This window comes from Homo sapiens, chromosome 10 (genome assembly GCF_000001405.40).
Source record: "Homo sapiens chromosome 10, GRCh38.p14 Primary Assembly".
Lineage (NCBI taxonomy): Eukaryota > Metazoa > Chordata > Mammalia > Primates > Hominidae > Homo > Homo sapiens.
The window spans coordinates 110,106,707-110,126,089 of record NC_000010.11 but is presented as its reverse complement, the minus strand read 5'-3'; the positions used below and the strand labels follow the sequence as shown (position 1 = coordinate 110,126,089).

The window sequence follows — 19,383 nt, the reverse complement described above, 5'->3', positions numbered from 1 at the left end:
TATAAGCTAAAATTATACTGAATTAAATTCCAAATTCTTCTGTATTCAAACTTCTAAGTTTGGCATTAACCAGATTCAACCACTGGTGATTTAAACATAAAGCAATTAAAATGTCTCCCCTGGCTATAGAAGACCATGTCTTACCTTATTTCTCTTTTCTAGTACCTCATTCGGGTTTGTGTTTAAAGGAACAAACTGATTTGGATCTTCAATTTTGATAGGTGTTCCACCACTAACTTTAGATGAGTCTTCTGCTTTCATCCACTAAAGAATCAAAAATTTTCTAAAATGAAGCTTTGTGTTAAGAAAATATTAGTAGATTGTTAGATAACTGCTTATAGTCTCAAGAGGGGCATTGCCAATGTTTAAATAATTTCACTAAGCAGTATCTTAGTGGTGAATTAGTTTCATCTCATACTAGTTAGAAAAGGCTCAAAATCAACATTTACTTAAAAAATAAATGCCATTACGATTCACATAAATATTCAATTATACTGCTAATTAAACTTTCTCCTTGTGTCAAGTGAAAATATGATGCTGAAACTACTTCAAGCACAGAGAGCATGATCTCACATTCACTCACATTCAGTGTTTTGTCTTCTGCACTGAAGACAGCAGTCAGATGAAGATGGCAAAGGAGTAATCAAAAAAAAAAAAAACTTAAGAAATATCTTAAGATTTTAGTTTATCAGACTTCACTTTTTATTTTTGGCTGACAGAAAAGGCCAAGCCCTAATCGGCATTTTATAATGGGGATAATCTGGTATATAATAGCAAAATAGAACCACGGGGTTGGAAGGAGCTTACATAATTCTTCTCATTTACCCCATATTATAATCCTTAAAGAAAGCGAATCTCGATCAAGATTAATGATGGCTGACCATCAATCTCTGTAAACAAAATGAATTCTGAGAAACCAATGAGTTTAATTATGTTCTTTTACTGGGAGGCAAGAAATCTTATAGACTACAGAAAAGACATTTTGATGCCTAGGTATTTTCATATTGAATGCCATTAGTTTATATAAGATGAACTAATTCTGAATATCTAGAACTGTGGTGTCCAATCTTTTGACTTCCCTGGGCCACATTGGAAGAACTGTCTTGGGCCACATATAAAATACACCAACACTAACGATAGCTGATTAGTTTAACAAAATCACAAAAAATTCTCATAATGTTTTAATAAAGTTTACAAATTTGTGTTGAGCTGCATCCAAAGCCATCCTGGGCCATGGACTGGACAAGACTGACCTAGAGAATGTTTGGTGGTATGCACTCCAAAACCAAACCAAACCAAATCTAATGCAAAATTCTGAAAAAGATAAAATAACCCATTTCTCTACCTACAAGATCTTGCCTAAGGGTAGCTATGTGCAGTGATTCATGCAGCTTTGGTACAATTAGGAGTTGATAACTTTTACAGTTTTAATTCACTGGTGAATTAAACTACTGGTGTAGTTTAATAGAAACTACAAAGCAGTATCATGTAGTGGACAAGAACTGGGCTCAAGAGTCAGACTGTCTTCATGCAAATCCCGAGTTTACCATTAAAACATGATTAATTAACCCTTCTTGCCTTGGTTTTCTCATCTATAAAATAGAAAAACAGCATCATTCATATTAGGAGAGTTAAATGAGAAAATTCGTGTATGGCACTTAGAAGAGTGTCTTGCACAAAGTTAAAGCCAGATAAGTGACAGTAATATTTTTAATATTATTTTACTTTCCAAATATTTTCAATATAGAACATTCAATTCTTGAGTAACTAGGCAAAATATTTAGTAAAGGCAAACTACATAAAATACTGGCATACCGTGATTTTGGTTCGGGGACTGGTTTCTCCGTTCCGAGACTCCTCAGGCACATTCACTTTCATGTAAGTATTTGGTGAGTTCAGCCATCTTGTTTTTTCACGCTGTTGCCTCTGTGCCATGTATTTGAGAGGAGAGAGTGGCACTGTATCGTCTTCAAAGGAAAAAGCAGTCACAGTTGCTGGGATTTCCACATCACTCTTGTGCCTAGGCTTCTCTCGAATGAGAGGATGCCTGTAAGCATAGCCTGTTCTATACCCCTAAGGGAGGGAAAAGCCACATTTGAAGCATCAAACCTGTATCAATAACAGCATTTGGATCCTAATTCCTTTTGTATACAAATGATTTAAAAGACTCCTTTGCTAAAAAACAAAGAAAAAGGCATCCTTCCAAACACCACATAACTTTCATGTAACACTGGAGCTGAAATTATGCAAATTTCAAGACCTAGTTAGAGCTGATAACAGCTGATATTGCAATTTCCACTCACACAACTGTTCCCGACAAACGAACAGTTCTAAGTTGCTGACCAGAAGTGCTTTTCTATCTATAAAACTGTTCTGGGGAAGCAAATCTCAGTGCTCATTTAAGTCTCTGTTCCTGGGTCTGAAGGCAGTCAGCCTTCTGAGCCTTCACAGAAGAGGGTAAAATCTAAAATAACATTTGCCAAACCATACATCTTTTAAGGGGTTACTATCCAAAATATATAGGGGACTCAAAAAATAACAAGAGAAGAACCCAATTAAAAAATAGGCAAAGGATCTGAATAAACATTTCTCAAAAGAAGACATACAAATGGTCAACAAGTGTATTAAAACATCACTAATCAAGAAAATGCAAATTAAAGCACGAGATGGCATGTCCTGTTAGAATCGCTATTATAAAAAAGATGAAAGACAACAAGTGTTAGAATGTAGGGAGAAAGGGACCCTTTGCACACTGTTGGTAGCAATGTAAATTAGTATAGCCATTGTGGAAAACAGTATGGAGGTTCCTCATACAATTAAAAATAAAACTACCATATCACCCAACAGTCTCACTACCAGATATATATCCAAAGGGAATGTACTCAGTATGTCAAAGAGGTATCTGTACTCTCATGTTAGGTACACCATTATTCACAATAGCCAAGATATGGAATCATCCTAAGTGTCCATTGATGGATGGGATATAAATGTGGTATATACAACATAATGGAATACTATTCAGCTTTAAAAAAGAAATTCTGTCAAATGTGACAACATGGATGAACCTAGAGGACATTGTATTAAATAAAATAAACCAGGCACAGAAAGACAAATACCCCATGATCTCACTTATATACAGAGTCTTAAAAAGTTGAACTTGTTGGGCATGGCAGCTCACGCCAGTAATCCCAGCACTTTGGGAGGCTGAGGTGGGAGGACTGCTTGAGCCCAGGAATTCAAGACCAGCCTGGGCAACATGGAGAAACCCTATCTCTACAAAAAGTAAAAAAAAAAAAATAAATTAGCCAGGCACGGTGGCACACACGTTATGTCCCAGATACACAGGAGGCTGAGGTGGAAGAATGGTTTGAGCCCAGCAGGTTGAGACTGCAAGTGAGCCCTGATTGTGTCACGGCACTCCAAGCAAGATCCTGCCTCCAAGAAAAAAAAAAAAGTTGAACTCATAAAAGTAGAGTAGAATAGTGGTTACAAGGAGGTGGGGGTGGGGAGATGTTGATCAAAGGATACAAAATTTCAGTTAGGAGGAAAAAGTTCAAGAGATATATTGTACTATGGTGACTACAGTTAATAACAATATATTGTAATCTTAAAAAAAAAACACGACATTTGTAAGTTCTGTTTAATTCTCAAAGGTGTGGTTAAATAACAATGAAATGCTTTCCTAGGGCCAAACTCAGCTTCTGGAAGAGTATGGAGCATGTTCTACAAAAATGGAAGCATCTGCTCTTGAATCTGAAGACATTAAATCCAAGTTTTACTTCAATTTTGCAACCTACCAAGTTGTCCAGAGTCCTCATAAGCCCTTCAAACTCAATTTCGCCAACCTTCCATTTTTGATGGGAACCCATATTCACACCTCCTCCACCAGACGCTGCTACAGTGTAAGTGAAAGCTTTATACTTCTGAAAGTCCAGTACATGGAGATTGTCTACTCCACCTGCACCTGCTAGGGCCTGCACCTGTAATCAATGGTAAAATATACAGAGACACAAAACTATAAAGACTGTAATGAGTATTTTACTTTCAAAAAGGCACAATTTCAATTTGGCAAATATCTATAATACTTGCTCAGGCTACTAACAACAAAGACAAGATGACACTCTTGTGCCAGCAGACAGCTGAAGTATCTTTTCCACCTATCTGAAAAAGAAACCTTCCAAGACTCTGATCCTCCCTGATGGAAAACACATTAGAGCCATACCTCTTAACATATTTTAAGCCACGGAATTCTGCTGCCAAATTTTAAATTTCTTTTCTTGAAGTTTTCCCAGGGTTATCCAGTTAATACTTTTGCTAAAAGCTATAATTTTAAGGAAATACAAAAACACTGTACTTTGAATTTAAAGATATTTAGGCAGAAGCCATCAGCTCATTATCTTAATTTAATTAAGCTTTTCATAGCCCCATTTGAGAAGAGGAGGAACCATTAAAGCAAAAATAAGTTGATTGTTAGGACAAGTTAATGTTGGTAGAAAAAGTTTTTTTTTAGTTGTTCTTTTCCCCCTTTCTTGTGGCCCTTCCAATAAATTAAGATTATTACCATTTGCTTCATGAGAATTTGCTTTATTTATTTATTTATTTATTGAGGACTGAGTTTCACTCTTGTTGCCCAGGCTGGAGTGCAATGGCACGATATCGGCTCACTGCAAACTTCGCCTCCCGGGTTCAAGCGATTCTCCCGCCTCAGCCTCCCAAGTAGCTGGGATTACAGGCACATGACACCACGCCCTGTTAATTTTGTATTTTTAGTACAGACGGGGTTTCTCCATGTTGGTCAGGCTGGTCTCGAACTCCTGACCTCAGGTGATCTACCCAGCTCAGCCTCCCAAAGTGCTGGGATTACAGGCATGAGCTACCGTGCCTGGCCAAATCTGCTTGATTTAAAGAGAAAATTAGGGCCTTTAGTTTAATTAGATCCCATTTGTCAATTTTGTCTTTTGTTGCCATTGCTTTTGGTGTTTTGGACATGAAGTCCTTGCCCATGCCTATGTCCTGAATGGTAATGCCTAGGTTTTCTTCTAAGGTTTTTATGGTTTTAGGTCTAACGTTTAAATCTTTAATCCATCTTGAATTGATTTTTGTATAAGGTGTAAGGAAGGGATCCAGTTTCAGCTTTCTACATATGGCTAGCCAGTTTTCCCAGCACCATTTATTAAATAGGGAATCCTTTCCCCATTGCTTGTTTTTCTCAGGTTTGTCAAAGATCAGCTAGTCGTAGGTATGTGGCGTTATTTCTGAGGGCTCCGTTCTGTTCCATTTATCTATATCTCTGTTTTGATACCAGTACCATGCTGTTTTGGTTACTGTAGCCTTGTAGTATAGTTTGAAGTCAGGTAGTGTGATGCCTCCAGCTTTGTTCTTTTGGCTTAGGATTGACTTGGCGATGCGGGCTCTCTAGTTCAACCATTGTGGAAGTCAGTGTGGCGATTCCTCAGGGATCTTGAACTAGAAATACCATTTGACCCAGCCATTCCATTACTGGGTATATACCCAAAGGACTATAAATCATGCTGCTATAAAGACACATGCACACGTATGTTTATTGCGGCATTATTCACAATAGCAAAGACTTGGAACCAACCAAATGTCCAACAATGATAGACTGGATTAAGAAAATGTGGCACATATACACCATAGAATACTATGCAGCCATAAAAAATGATGAGTTCATGTCCTTTGTAGGGACATGGATGAAATTGGAAATCATCATTCTCAGTAAACTATCACAAGAACAAAAAACCAAACACCGCATATTCTCACTCATAGGTGGGAATTGAACAATGAGATCACATGGACACAGGAAGGGGAATATCACACTCTGGGGACTGTGGTGGGGTGGGGGGAGGGGGGAGGGATAGCATTGGGAGATATACCTAATGCTAGATGACGAGTTGGTGGGTGCAGCGCACCAGCATGGCACATGTATACATATGTAACTAACCTGCACAATGTGCACATGTACCCTAAAACTTAAAGTATAATTAAAAAAAAAAGAAAAAGAAAAAGAAAATTAGGGCCTTTAAATACATTCAACATCTCTGATGAAAAAAATGATTAATAAATATCCAACCTCTCATCATAATGAGGCTGTGGAATTGTTGAAAACTGCAATTTCATATAACTTCTGGACCTAGTCAAACTTTTTACAAAAGTGACCACAACACATTTGATTCTTGATTTGCAGCTGTTTTTCTTCCTTAATTAGTACCACCACTACAGGGTGAAAACAGAAATATGCAATTGTACTAACTTAAAAAGCAGGATTGTAGGGAAAATGATGTTTATGAGGCCCTTAGATTGTGTGTGAGAAAATTTTAATTTCCTTTACTCCTATTTTCAATTCAAGAGATAACTGAGTTGAAAACCCTGCCTACATAAGTAGAGCAGAACTTCTCTTAAAAGACAAAAAGCCACTAACTAATATGTATTTGCAAATAAGTACACAAAATCCAACTAAACGAGCAAATAACAAAGCAATTAAAAAAGGGGAATAATGTTTCCTACCTGAATCTCACAGGCTAGTTGCACATTAAAAATATAATGAAAAGCCTCCTCTAATGTTTCTCCAAGTGCAACCACACCATGATTCCTGAGTACCAGCACCTAAAATAGAATGCCCACAGCAATCACTTGAAATAACTGGCATAGCTCACACTGTTTTCATCAACAGCAGCAGCAACAAAAATAGCTCCTTAGACAAACTCTACTACATACCTTACAACTTGGTCCCAGAACCTTCTGCAGTTGAATTCTCTCCTCCTGTTCTTCAAGTGACCCTTGGTAGTCATAATAGGCAACATCTCCCAGAAGAAGAGACTCTTGAGAAATTGGAAGGATCCCACATTTCATGGAGGATACCTATTTGGTTTGGCCCATACCAAGATAACACATTTGGTTACTAAATACATTTTCATAGGAACCTGATTGTTTGGTCAGCTCAGGAAAACACTGGCCTATTCACTGTGTTTCACCATTGCAGCCCACTTCCCACTTTATTCACTTCCCATTTTGTTTCTTCCACACACACACAAAAAGGACTTAGGGAATACAACTCAACTTATATGCTGTGTCAAATATTATGAAAGAAGCTTTGCTCCAAAAAACTCAATGACCCAATTTTCAAACTGGTTAGTTTTAGAATCCAAATGTTATTTCTCCAGTTGTTTCCTAGAATGGTAGCATTTGGTCCCAAAGGCCTTTTGCTTTCTGGGTATGCAGATTATTGTATCAAATATGATTTTGAAAAGCAGATAGTAAAGCATCCTGTTGAGAAAGCCACAAAAATAATACATCTTCCAGCGTCCTGTCAGTTTTGGACTTTCATTGACTTACAGCTGCTGTTGCAAGGGTATGGATGTGTATCACACACTTAACATCAGGACGTGTTGAATAGATTGCAGCATGGGGACTGAATCCTGTATGGTCAATTTTCAAATTGGTACTTCCCTGGTCAACCACTTCTCCTATTATATTGACTTTCACCTGGAAAAAATCAGAAGGACATATTTAACTGGTATATACGTATCAAAGTTTGTGTTTCACAAGCTAAACCAGGGGGTAGCAAACCTTTTTGTAAAAGGTCAGATAGCAAATATTTTGGACTTTGTGGGCCTCTGCTGCAATTACTCAAATCTGCAGCTGCAGTACAAAAGCAGCCATAAACAATCTGTAAGTTAACAGGTATAGCTTTGTTCCCATAAAACTTTATTTATAAAACAGGTGCAACAAAACTTGGTACTTGGCAAGAAGTACAGTTTCCAAGAAAAGGAGAAACTTAAGCTCTTCATCGGAGGTCTGAACAAGTCTGGCATGTATAGAATTGGCTAGAAAACTTCTATTTGCTAACATTGCAGCAAGCACCCAGAACCAAGGTAGCTCCTGTCACTCTGTAAGCTGATGACAGTGGCTAGGAGTAGTCATGGAAAAGATAAAATACTAAGGTCAGATCCTATACTCATACCAGCTGAACTTTGTTTAAATCTAGCTATGAACATTGTGTGTGTGTGTGTGTGTGTGTGTGTGTGTGTGTGTGTGTGTGTGTGTGTGTGTATTGAAGACAGAGTCTCGCCCTGTAGCCCAGGCTGGAGTGCAATGGTGCGATCTTGGCTCACTGCAACCTCTACCTTATGGATTCAAGCGATTCTCCTGCCTCAGCCTCCCGAGTAGCCGGGATTACAGGTGTGTGCCACCACGCCCAGCTAATTTTTTGTTATCTTTAGTAGAGATGGGGTTTCACCATGTTGGTCAGGCTGGTCTTGAACTCCTGACCTCGTGATCCACTTGCCTCAGCCTCCCAAAGTGCTTGGATTACAGGCGTGAGCCACTGCACCTGGCCGTGTGTGTTTTTTTTACACAATTTTTTTACACAAATTTCTGAGTGTATAGGGTGGTAAAAAAAAAAAAATCACGATTCCCTTCAAAACATAGACAAGTTAACTGATAAGACCAACTCATTTATTAGTCTCTTCAATTACGCTATTCTCTAAAGCTTTTCCCTAAAACAACATAGTTCAAATTCCCTTCACTGTTCACTAGTAAATGTTTTTCCATCCATACCTTCTTATTCTGTCCTGTGCTAAAAGCTAAGAACTGTCAGAAAAGCCAAAGAAAGCTCAGAAAAAGCAACACAGGAATGGAAAATTATACCAAATTGGAGGCTGTAGCTTCAGAAAAAGATAGGCCTCTGGGAATTATTATAATGTGGTCTTGCTCCTTACTTATTCTTACCTGGAAAAAAAAACAACAGGGAATTACTATGAAGTGGTTCATATTTTGCAGTGGAAACATGACTACAAATATATTTACAATGAATAATTGTAAGAGATCAGGAAAAAAAAAACCAACAAAGCAAAAATTAAAGGTCTACAACATGAAACTTTCCTAAAGTTTCCCTCAAGTACTTGCTAAAAAATTCTGACTTTAGTTTCTTATTTACTGGACTTACCTAAAAGTGTTATTTTGGGGCTCTAAGGTTATTTAGGGTCAGCTATGTTCATGAAAAATAAATGCTAATATTATTCAAGCCAATGTGGTAATAATTATAACCTTAATTTATAACTTGGAAGTTAAGGCAAAATGGGCAAAGGAAAGAGAACAAAATCTCTTCCTAGGAAGGAATTAAAATAAAGATGGAAGGTGGAAAGGAAGAAAGATTCTTGATGGACTGCATCTGTACCATTTCCATTGTACAATATTTTAATCCTCTTTTGTTTCCAAATAGCATCTTTTTCCAAGTGTGGCAAAATAAAAATATGATGGTGAATGGAAAGAATATATTTTAAAAATAAAGACCAGGGAGGAAACTTCCCTGACCTCCTCTATCTTCCTTGCCTCAAATGCTTTTTAAAGCCACTGATGCTCAGACATAATTATCATGGAGAGGGACAATTTTGCCAGAAGGATTTCTTCCTGGATAGATTCTACAGTTGGTCTGAACCAAAGGAACTTGGAACAACATAGATAGTAAGGGGAGAAGAAAGGTGGGGGAATTGGAGCCTCTCCCTTGGGTATAAGGTTTAAATCAGTATTTGGTTGTGATCTAGCATACTAGGTTTAGAGAATAAGTCTGAAAACTGGACTTCCAGGTAAAGGTAAGAAGAGTATAGTTGCCTTCTAGCTGGAATTTTTTAAAAAAGGAATTGAAAGCTGAAGAACTCACTGAGATATAGGTATTTGCCAGGTGTGCCCATCCAAACAAGTCTACAAGTCTGTACAGGCTGGCAAGTTTACAGCGAGTAAGTTTTTCTCCCTTCACATATGAGGATGTATCTGCACCAGGAAGGTCATTGATAGGTGTGACCATGCCAAGACCTAAAAGAGCAAAAAATGTGGAGAGAGATACGAGTCATGCAATCCCTTACCTGGAAATTAGTTGCCAGGAAGTAGCCTGCGTCTGGGAGTATCCCAGCCTTGTATATAATAATCTGAAATTTATCAGCCCATATAATATTTTATTAGCTTATTCTCCTTCAGAGAGGTAAACTGAGAGTAAAAATAAGTATCAGCTATCTTTGATTGCTTAGTAAAAGTTGCTTCATGTAGTGCTTGCTAAGGAGTGACTATATCAAAGGCTCACACCACTGGGGAAAAATGGTTACACATATCTCCGAGGGTAAAAGTGTTAAATACTGAGGTTACTGCTAGTTTTATGATGAAAAGACCTCAACAGAAAGCTACTTTTCTATTATCTCTCTTGACTTTTATTCAAACACAAAAAACATTTGAGATGGAAAATAATGCATGCAAATAGTAGTATGATTTCTGTCCTATTGAAGGTCTTGAAGGTCTCTAATGATCTAATTGCCAAGTTCAGCTGTTACCAAGTTCAACTTTTGCTCAGTCTTCATTCTCCTTGACCTCTTTACAGCTTTACACTATTTACACTGCCTCATTCCTAGAACTCTTCTCGAGGCCCATGTGATACTATCCTAGATCTCTTATTCCTTGTCTACATGCTTTTCTCCTTTAACAAGTTCATCTGTTCCCTTTGCCCAGCTTTGGCTCTTCCCCAAAGCTCAGTCCTCCACTATGTTCTTTCTCATTTTACTTTTCCCTACAAAAACATTATAGACTCTTGAGCCTCCCTATTGTTATTTTTGTGTAGACGACTCACTCCCTGGTCTTTAGTTCTGATCAGGTCCTCCTCCCCATTTTCCAGCCTGCTTGTTTTGTTTTTTTTTGAGACGGAGTTTCACTCTTGTTGCCCAGGTTTGAGTGCAATGGTACGATCTCGGCTCACTGCAACATCCACCTCCCAGGTTCAAAGCGATTCTCCCGCCTCAGCCTCCTGAGAAGCTGGGATTACAGGCATGTGCCACCAGGCCCAGCTAATTTTGTATTTTAGTAGAGACAGGTTTTTTCCTTGTTGGTCAGGGTGGTCTTGAACTCCTGACCTCAGATGATCCACCTGCCTTGGCCTCCCAGAGTGCTGGGATTATAGGCCTGAGCCACTGCAACTGGCCCCACCCTTTTTTTTTTTTTTTTTTTTTAGAGGCAGGGGTATCACTCTGTCACCCAGGCTGCAATGCAGTGGTGTGATCATGGCTCACTGCAGCCTCGAACTCCTAGGCTCAGGCAATCCTTCCACCTCAGCCTCCTGAGTAGCTAGGACTACAGGGCATGCTGCCACACCTGGCTAATTTTTTAATTTGTTTAGTGGAGATGGGGTCTTACTATGTTGCCCAGGCTGGTCTTGAACTCCTGGCCTCCAGTGATCCTCCTGCCTTGGCCTCCCAAAGTGCTAGGATTACAGACATGAGCCACTGTGCCCAGCCTAGCCTGCTATTTCCAAGTGCCTACAACGCAATAACATGAAAATTAAAAGGGTCTAAAGGTGATTTTATCTTCTCTCTCCTGGTTTTTCTTACCTTCTCTCTTCTCCTTACTTTGCTTCTAATATTGATATTACCATTCCTATAGGCTCAAACTCTGGGTTTCAGTAACCTCTACCTCCTTAACCTCTCCTGGGTAACCATATATAATTTGTCACCACATTTCATGACTGTTTTCTTCATAAGGTCCCTCGTTGTCCACTCTTGAGTTCAGCCCTTAACTCATGCATGGATCCCTGCAATAAGCCTCATTCTTGTACTCGACTGTAGCCCCTTTCTTTGTAAATTCATTATGCATAAAGCCATTGAGTTTTCTAAAGCACTGCTTTTTACCTGAGAATATGAGCAAGAACTTTTAAAGAGAATATTTCAATGGAAAACCTTTTAATTTTGAGATGTTTTGAAGTAATCTGAATAGTTTTAATACATAAGCCACAAAAAATAGCATAATTTCTGACAAAATTTTAGAGTCAGCCATTAACCTGTCTTCTATTCTCCCCGTAACCTTCCAACTTTAACTTCCGCTTTTCACTTCACTGCGTAAGTATTTCAGGCAACTGGTTGCTATTTCCTGATCTCCAAACAGTGGCACATGGCTTTCCTCCTGCCATGCCTTTGTACATTCCAGCCAGCAGGCCCAGGTCTCCTGTAGCTCCTTGTTCCCGCCATGGAATCCAGGACACTTCCAGGGCAGCTTCTTTTACTATTTCTGTTTTCCCTGACTAGTCTTCCTCTTTGAGCTTTTGAGGTTTTCTCTTTGGAATCTTTTGTCAGCCCATACTCCTGTATGATTATTTAATCAATGTCCACAGCTTTGAGTACTACTTCTCTATGTCCATCTGCCAAGTGTTTCTCCTAAGCTCTCTGACTGCACTTCCAATTGCTGCAATGTCTTGGCAATGCAAATGGAGCATGCCCAAAGTTGAACTTCCTCCATTTCCCAAGCCAAACCAGATCCCCAACTATTCTATTTTTGTTAATAATACTATGAAATCTCCCAGTTCATTCTTCACACAGAAAATATAGTGGTCTTTTAAAATCATCTTTCTGCTTAAAATGGCTTCCCATCAAAGTTAGGAATAAAACCCAAACTTCCAAATCCAACTGTGATATGATTTATATCCAGCCACATTAAAATCAGATTTATTATTTTAGAAAATAGAGACAGGGTGGGCCTGGTGCAGTGGCTCAGGCCTGTAATCCCAGCACTTTGGGAGGCCAAGGTGGGTAGATCGTGAGGTCAGGAGTTCAAGACCAGCCTAACCAACATGGTGAAACCCCGTCTCTACTAAAAATACAAAAAATTAGCCAGGCGTGGTGGCGCGCACCTGTAATACCAGCTACTCAGGAGGCTGAGGCAGGAGAATCGCTTGAACCTGCGAGGTGGAGGTTGCAGTGAGCCGAGATCGGGCCACTGTACTCCAGCCTCGGCGACAGAGCAAGACTCCTGTCTCAAAAGAAAAAACAAACAACAACAAAAAAACAAAAATAGAGACAAGGTTTTCACTTTGTTTGCTAGGCTGGTCTCGAACTCCTGGGCTCAAGCATTTCTCCCACCTCAGCCTCCCATGTGGCTGGGACTACTGACACATGCCACAAGTCCCAGCCCAGAATCATGTCTTATATCATCTTATAATCTGTACAAAGTGTAGTAAATGCCTGGTTGATATGAAAAGGTAGGAGGGTCTAACACTATGTTACTCTAAGTATTAGATGTTATAAACTTAAGGACTGAACCCGAGCAGAATATGCTGCTAGAGATGTATAGTGGTCCAAAGTGGAAGTAAAATTATAATGTTTAAAACTCTCCAAAACTGACATACTGAGAGGAGGTGAAGAAAAACCCGAGAAAGAATTGGCCATGATGTAATCTGCAATCTGCTGTAATGCTAGTAATCCAGTTGGGTTGTGGCCTTTCTTCATCTGTTCTTGAATAAGGCATTCCAAGTCTTCCCGAAAGGCCTGTAATACACAAAAATAAAGACTGAGCAAGCAAGACTGAATGGCCCAAAAGTAACTTGTTCCGATACAATCAATCTTTACCCCATCCCTTTTCTGAATAGCTTTTACCTGTACTATTTAAAAACAAATATAAAACACAAAATAATAAAATCAAAGCACTGCAAGAAGCAGCAAGATGCTTGCTTTTAGGGGGGAAAACCACTAGGCATTCTTCATGTCAAAGAAAATGAGATATTATAATATCTACACTAGACAGGCACAGATAAAACTCCTCTTATTAATATACAACTCAAGCACCAAGAAACCATTGTAAAAAAAAAGGTGACCCACTCCTTGCTTAGCTAAGACAGAGTCCCTGGTCAGGCGTGGTGGCTCACGCCTATAATCTCAGCACTTTGGGAGGCCAAGGCGGGTGGATCACCTGAGGTGGGGAGTTGGAGACCAGCTTGACCAACATGGAGAATCCTCGTCTTTACTAAAAATACAAAATTAGCCCAGCGTGGTGGTGCATGCCTGTAATCCCAGCTACTCAGGAGGCTGAGGCAGGAGAATAGCTTGAACTCGGGAGGAGGAGGATGTGGTGAGCCGAGATCATGCCATTGCACTCCAGCCTGGGCAACAAGAGCGAAACTCCATCTCAAAAAAAAAAAGACAGAGTTCCCATGTGAATGGGGCACAACTTTGAATACAGAGTGATTCAATGGCAAAAGTTTTCACTGAGACATACTAAAATAATTTCTACTTTATGATTTCTATGGAAATTCCTTAGCTCCATAAACTCTGAAAGCAAATTAATAAGAGTTGAGTTCTAATCACTCTCTGCAACACTGTGGTAAATGACAATTTTTTTTTCTTTTTTTTTTGAGACAGAGTTTCGCTCTTGTTGCCCAGGCTAGAGTGCAACGGCGCGATCTCAACTCACCGCAACCTCCGCCTCCCGGGTTGAAGCGATTCTCCTGCCTCAGCCTCCTGAGTAGCTGGGATTACAGGCATGCGCCACCACCCGGCTAATTTTGTATTTTTAGTAGAGACAGGGTTTCTCTATGTTGGTCAGGCTGGTCTTGAACTGCCGACCTCAGGTGATCCGCCCACCTCTGCCTTCCGAAGTGCTGGGATTACAGGCGTGAGCCACCGCGCCCGGCTAAATGACAGTTTTTTAATGGAACGTTGGGTTCCATATGTTCCTATTCTGGAGTTCTGTATCTTTTTGGGGGTGGGGTGGGTGAGGTAGTGGCAGAAACAGTGTTTATAGAGATCAAAATCCTGAACTAATATTAAGAGAACGCCTCTATTCCAGTAACCCTCGAGTTACTAGTATGGTTCAACATCTGAAACTTCTCCCAATCCTTCATATCACAAATAGTTGGTTCTGACTTTCCATCACACCCAACCAACACTTATTAAGTTTGTCATTTGTTCTTTTGCTCATGTCTCCTTCGTTTTAAAGATGAAGGTTCTTGCAACATAAGTCACTTAACCCTTGCTCTTCCATTTGAGATTAGTTACTTATGTAGCAGGATGCCCTGCCAGAAATTAAGCTCCATTTCCCCCACTCTGCCTAAGAGGGAGAAGGCAGAAAATTATTTTGGAATCACTTCCTCCAAGAAGGGTAGGTATGAATACCTGGGAGATAATGGAGAAAACTTCCTTTAGAAGGGTGAATCTCTTTTGAGTCACTGACAGTGGTCTGCCTCGTGACGGTAGGAATAAAATCTCCTGGAATCTCCGCTTAGATGGAGCCTTTCTGAGAGGGTGGGTAAATAACCTATATGTCTAGGAAACTTTTTTTTTTTCCGCTCTGTTGCCCAGATTGGAGTGCAGTGGCACAATCTCAGCTCACTGCAACCTCCACCTCCTGGGTTCAAGTGATTCTCTTATCTCAGCCTTCCAAGTAGCTGGGATTATAGGTGTGCACAACCATGCCCGGCTAATTTTTGTAGTTTTAGTAGAGATGGGGTTTCACCATGTTGGTCAGGTTGGTCTCAAACTCCTGTCCTCAAGTGATCCACCTGTCTCAGCCCAAAGTGGTGGGATTACAGGTGTGAGCCACCACACTCAGCCAGGAACTTTAAAAAAAAAAAATGGCATACGAGCTCATGGTGATAAGGGGAAATATGGTTCTAAGGGTATGAGGTGGTAGATGTTAGAACTAGTCCTGACTCAGTGTTTACAGTGCACTTAGAACAATAGTTGAGAAGTTTCCATGATGTGAACTCTAAGAGCTGGGTGCTAATAGTTGTAATCTTGGGTGCTCAACCATAAAGGACCGAGCTTAGCACCGGAAGATCCCTCCCTGATGCACTGTGGTGGCCTGCACAAACATCTGAGTCAACAGTGAACCTATAGCTCCTGTTGAACAGTTTAAGACTGGTTTTCAACATTCTACCATGGGGCAGGGAAGTACAGTGGCAGTGGTGGACTGAACAGACTCTAGTGTGTCTCCCTCACATACATATATACAGATGCATGGATACACGACCCACACCCATCTTGGATATGGAGGCCACTGATTAACCCAGTCAGTGTAAGTCACTAAAGTTCTGGAAGAATTCAGAGAAAAGCAGAAATTCCAAGAGAAAGATGGTGTACTTTCTGCTAATAAGGCAAGTGGATATTTGAGTGATTAATTTTTAAAAATACTAATTGTGACATTTGAATCCTAAGTTCATGGAGCAGTTTGCACCAGTTAAATATGGCTTTTCTTTTTACAAATTCAAGGCTTGTTAAGTGTAAATCATTCACACAATATAATAAAAGCTCAAAAACATCTGGTTCTATTGCCGGTATCTAGTTCATTTAAATACACGATTTAAATCAGAAAAACTGTCTTGTAAAATATCCTCTACAAAGATATACTTCATTTATCAGAAAACTCCATTAGGGAGTTTTCTTGTTCATCCAAGACCCTGTGAAGATAAGATGGCTGAGAGCTGTATACAAGATAGATGGACACCTTCATACAGACAAGTAACATAACTATTTTACCATGCTTAAGGCTGAAAGGAAAAAAATGTTCCAGATATCCTCATTTATCTTTATGTAAAGTACAGAAAACTTCTGGACACATGGCAATGGGCCAATCTGCTCTTTTGGAACTCTATCTTCCCTTCAAAACCAAACTATTTAAACTTTTCTCAGTTCAAAGTAGTTATAACTGATATTCTTTGATTCAGTTTTTAAAAAACCAAAATTAATGATACCTACTATGTGTATCACTCATTACATATATTACAATAACTTGGAGAAGTAGGCATTATCTATTTTATTAAATGTCTTGCACCCATGTTCTTCCAGGAAAAATTTAAGGCAGCTTCCACAGATTAAAATGCTACAAAAATAAATATAGGTAAGAAAAATAAAGCTGAAGAGAAAATAAGCATAAGGAAGGTAGACAGAGCCAGGAATGAGGTTAAGATACAAAGTGAATGCCATAAAATTGTATGCATTTGCTAGAGATGGGACAAATTTTATCTCAACTCTGGCAGCCAACATGAATTAAGACAGCTTGCTCAGTGTATTGATTTACAATGGTTTTTAGATTAAAAAAAAAAATCAACCAGGTACTCAAGAGAATCACAATTTATTAAACTGGTGAGAAATTTCTGCTGGGTGGGATGAGAAAGTTAAAGAAAGGTTGAAAACCTGTTCACGGACATACAGCTAGTAAATGCCAGAGGCAAGGACACAAGTCCAATGCTCTTTTTACATTAGTGAAATGCTTTCTTCATTACCATATATCCCACAATATGTGAGTACCATTCTAAAACCTTTGGGATAGCTATGGTGTCATAGAGCGATGTATAAGCTCTTCTGAAATCAAATTAAGAGTAAGAGGGAAAATACGAATGTCTCCTTTAAAGCTGACGAATAGCTTCTACGCAGTATAGGTATAAAAAAAATTTTTTTTCAAAGTATATGAAATCCCCCCAGCCTTGTTTACAGTTCACAGTGCTTCAACAGGTAAGAATTCTTCCAGTGCAAAAAAGGTTTAATATTTTGTCATGAACATTTATTACTCATTTTTACATGTTTCAAATGTTTCTCAAATATTGTTCAGATAATCACCTAAGTCATAAAACAGTAAGTGTAAAAATTACTAATATAAGACTAATATAAAAAATTACTAATTACTAATTTCAGCTGATTTTTTAAATTTATCAGTAAATTTATTGAGCTTTCATTAAAATATTAAGATAAAAATTTTATTTATCTTTGAGATGGGTAGTTAATCATATTTTTACTAAAGTTCAATGTTAATAATCCTTTATAGTTGATATATTTGAGTCTCACCACAAAGTCCTGAGATAGGCAATGCCTTGCTCGAGGTTATAAAGCTAATAAGTAAATGGAATAAAGATTCAAATATGGAACCCTCAACTGAGCACAAGTTCTTTTCCTAATTTTATTCAGACTTGGATTGTATCTCTGAAACCAAATACAACTAATAAGCTAGCAGGCATGTTGTGATCTGAAATGTTGAGTAAACCTCTTAGGCTAGATTAGAGCATTAGACTGCAATGGCAGATAAAGCAAAAATATATATATATATACTGGCAGATTATGGTGATCCTGGAATACCAGGCTAAGTACTTGCCCTCTTGTAGCTAAGAATTCATCAAAGCATAATGAGAAACTTGATTTCTAATCAGGGTGGTGTGGCCACATACTGGGCTTAAGTCAGATTAGCCAACAGTTCCCTGGAGTCTCCACTAGAGAAGAACTGGTTAGAAGATCAAACAACATATACACAAAACCATGGCATAAACTATGTCTTCTTTCTCAGATACAGAAGAGCATAGAAGAGGAGGTAGTGGTAGTTGTTAAATTTTGTGAAGATGAATAAACCAGAATGCCATCAGGGTAACAGATTCAAGACCTTAAAAAACCAAAATACAGTCTAAGGAATTAAAATCTTCAAGTGTTGCCACAAAAGCATAATGTACTTCAAATTAGCAATAAATATATAATTTCCAAAAAACAGTTGCCGACTACGTGCTGCGTGCTGTACTGCATGCTCTTATGTTATTTTATTTAATTGTCACAACCGTGTGAGGTATTTTCCCCATTTTACCAACAAGGAAACTGAAGCTCAAGTTAAACGAGCTTCGTAATGTCACATAGCTAGTAAGTGGTAGGCAAAGTAAAATGTGAACCCAGATCCAAAACAAACACTTTTATAAAAAATTGTGTAAACAAAATGGGCAATGATGAGAAAATGTACTGACTCCTAACTTAGGTCAAAATGGCTTGGTACTGCAAAATTTCCATAGTCTGCTGCTATGTAATTTTTTTTGCTTTATCTGCCATTACTACCTCATGCTTTAGCCTATGAGGTTCTTGCAGCATTCTCTGATCACAACTTGCACTTCTCTAGCCCTGCTCGATCTACTTCATCCAATGGAAGTATTGACTTCCACTGTTCTTCTTCCTAATGAATTCTTTCCTTTATTCAACACATTACAAATGCTACCTTCTCCTTGAAGTCACCTAATCATCCAAGTTAGGAGGGATCTCTGTATTTCTTCTCTTCTACACTTCACTGTGAACTTTCCCTATACTATACTTAGGGTACCTAGTGTATGACTGTGATTGTTTAACTATTTTCCTGCTCTACTATACCATATTATCTGAGGACTGAAACTGTGTCTTTCACATTTCTAGATTCTCCCTGAGTGTGTAGTTCAGTGCTCAATTAATACTAAGTTAAGAGTTTCTTTTCATTTTCCTAGATATAAAGAAAGTGAAGAATCTGATCTCAATCTTGACCCAGTTAACGTAGCAAATATCCATTTCATAGGTTATTAGCTAGAAAACAGTCTTATCAGTCTATTACTTGAATGAGAAATCCCTGCTGTCTAATTAGGCCTACCCATAATCTACTAGGTAAGATTTATTTTCTTTAAATAAGAAATTCATCCTCATTGAATGTTATAAACTTTTAAAAAGCCATTTAATTCTTCAACTCAAACAAAATCCTACTTGAAAACTTAATTTGCCCCCAGAACATTATAGTTTGAACAGCTCTTCAAACATAGGTCCAAAAAGTATGGTAAAAAAATCACTAGGTGAA

At 38.6% G+C, this 19,383-nt stretch overlaps 1 protein-coding gene across 31 annotated transcripts in view; it reads right to left on the bottom strand.

Moving 5' to 3' along the window:
• ADD3 (adducin 3) overlaps positions 1-19,383 on the bottom strand; it is a 139,193-nt gene that overhangs the window by 9,476 nt on the left and 110,334 nt on the right. For 30 of the 31 annotated variants that reach the window (NM_001320591.2, XM_047424588.1, XM_047424590.1 and 27 more), the window contains 9 exons: positions 13,175-13,313; positions 9,680-9,831; positions 8,668-8,748; positions 7,354-7,503; positions 6,736-6,879; positions 6,526-6,624; positions 3,798-3,980; positions 1,816-2,073; positions 145-264 (listed from right to left, as the gene is read on the bottom strand). In NM_001320591.2, coding sequence (NP_001307520.1) covers positions 145-264; positions 1,816-2,073; positions 3,798-3,980; positions 6,526-6,624; positions 6,736-6,879; positions 7,354-7,503; positions 8,668-8,748; positions 9,680-9,831; positions 13,175-13,313 — 1,326 coding nt within the window. Of the gene's footprint in view, positions 1-144; positions 265-1,815; positions 2,074-3,797; positions 3,981-6,525; positions 6,625-6,735; positions 6,880-7,353; positions 7,504-8,667; positions 8,749-9,679; positions 9,832-13,174; positions 13,314-19,383 lie in introns of those variants that run through there. The other variant, XM_047424597.1, reaches the window with a different exon arrangement.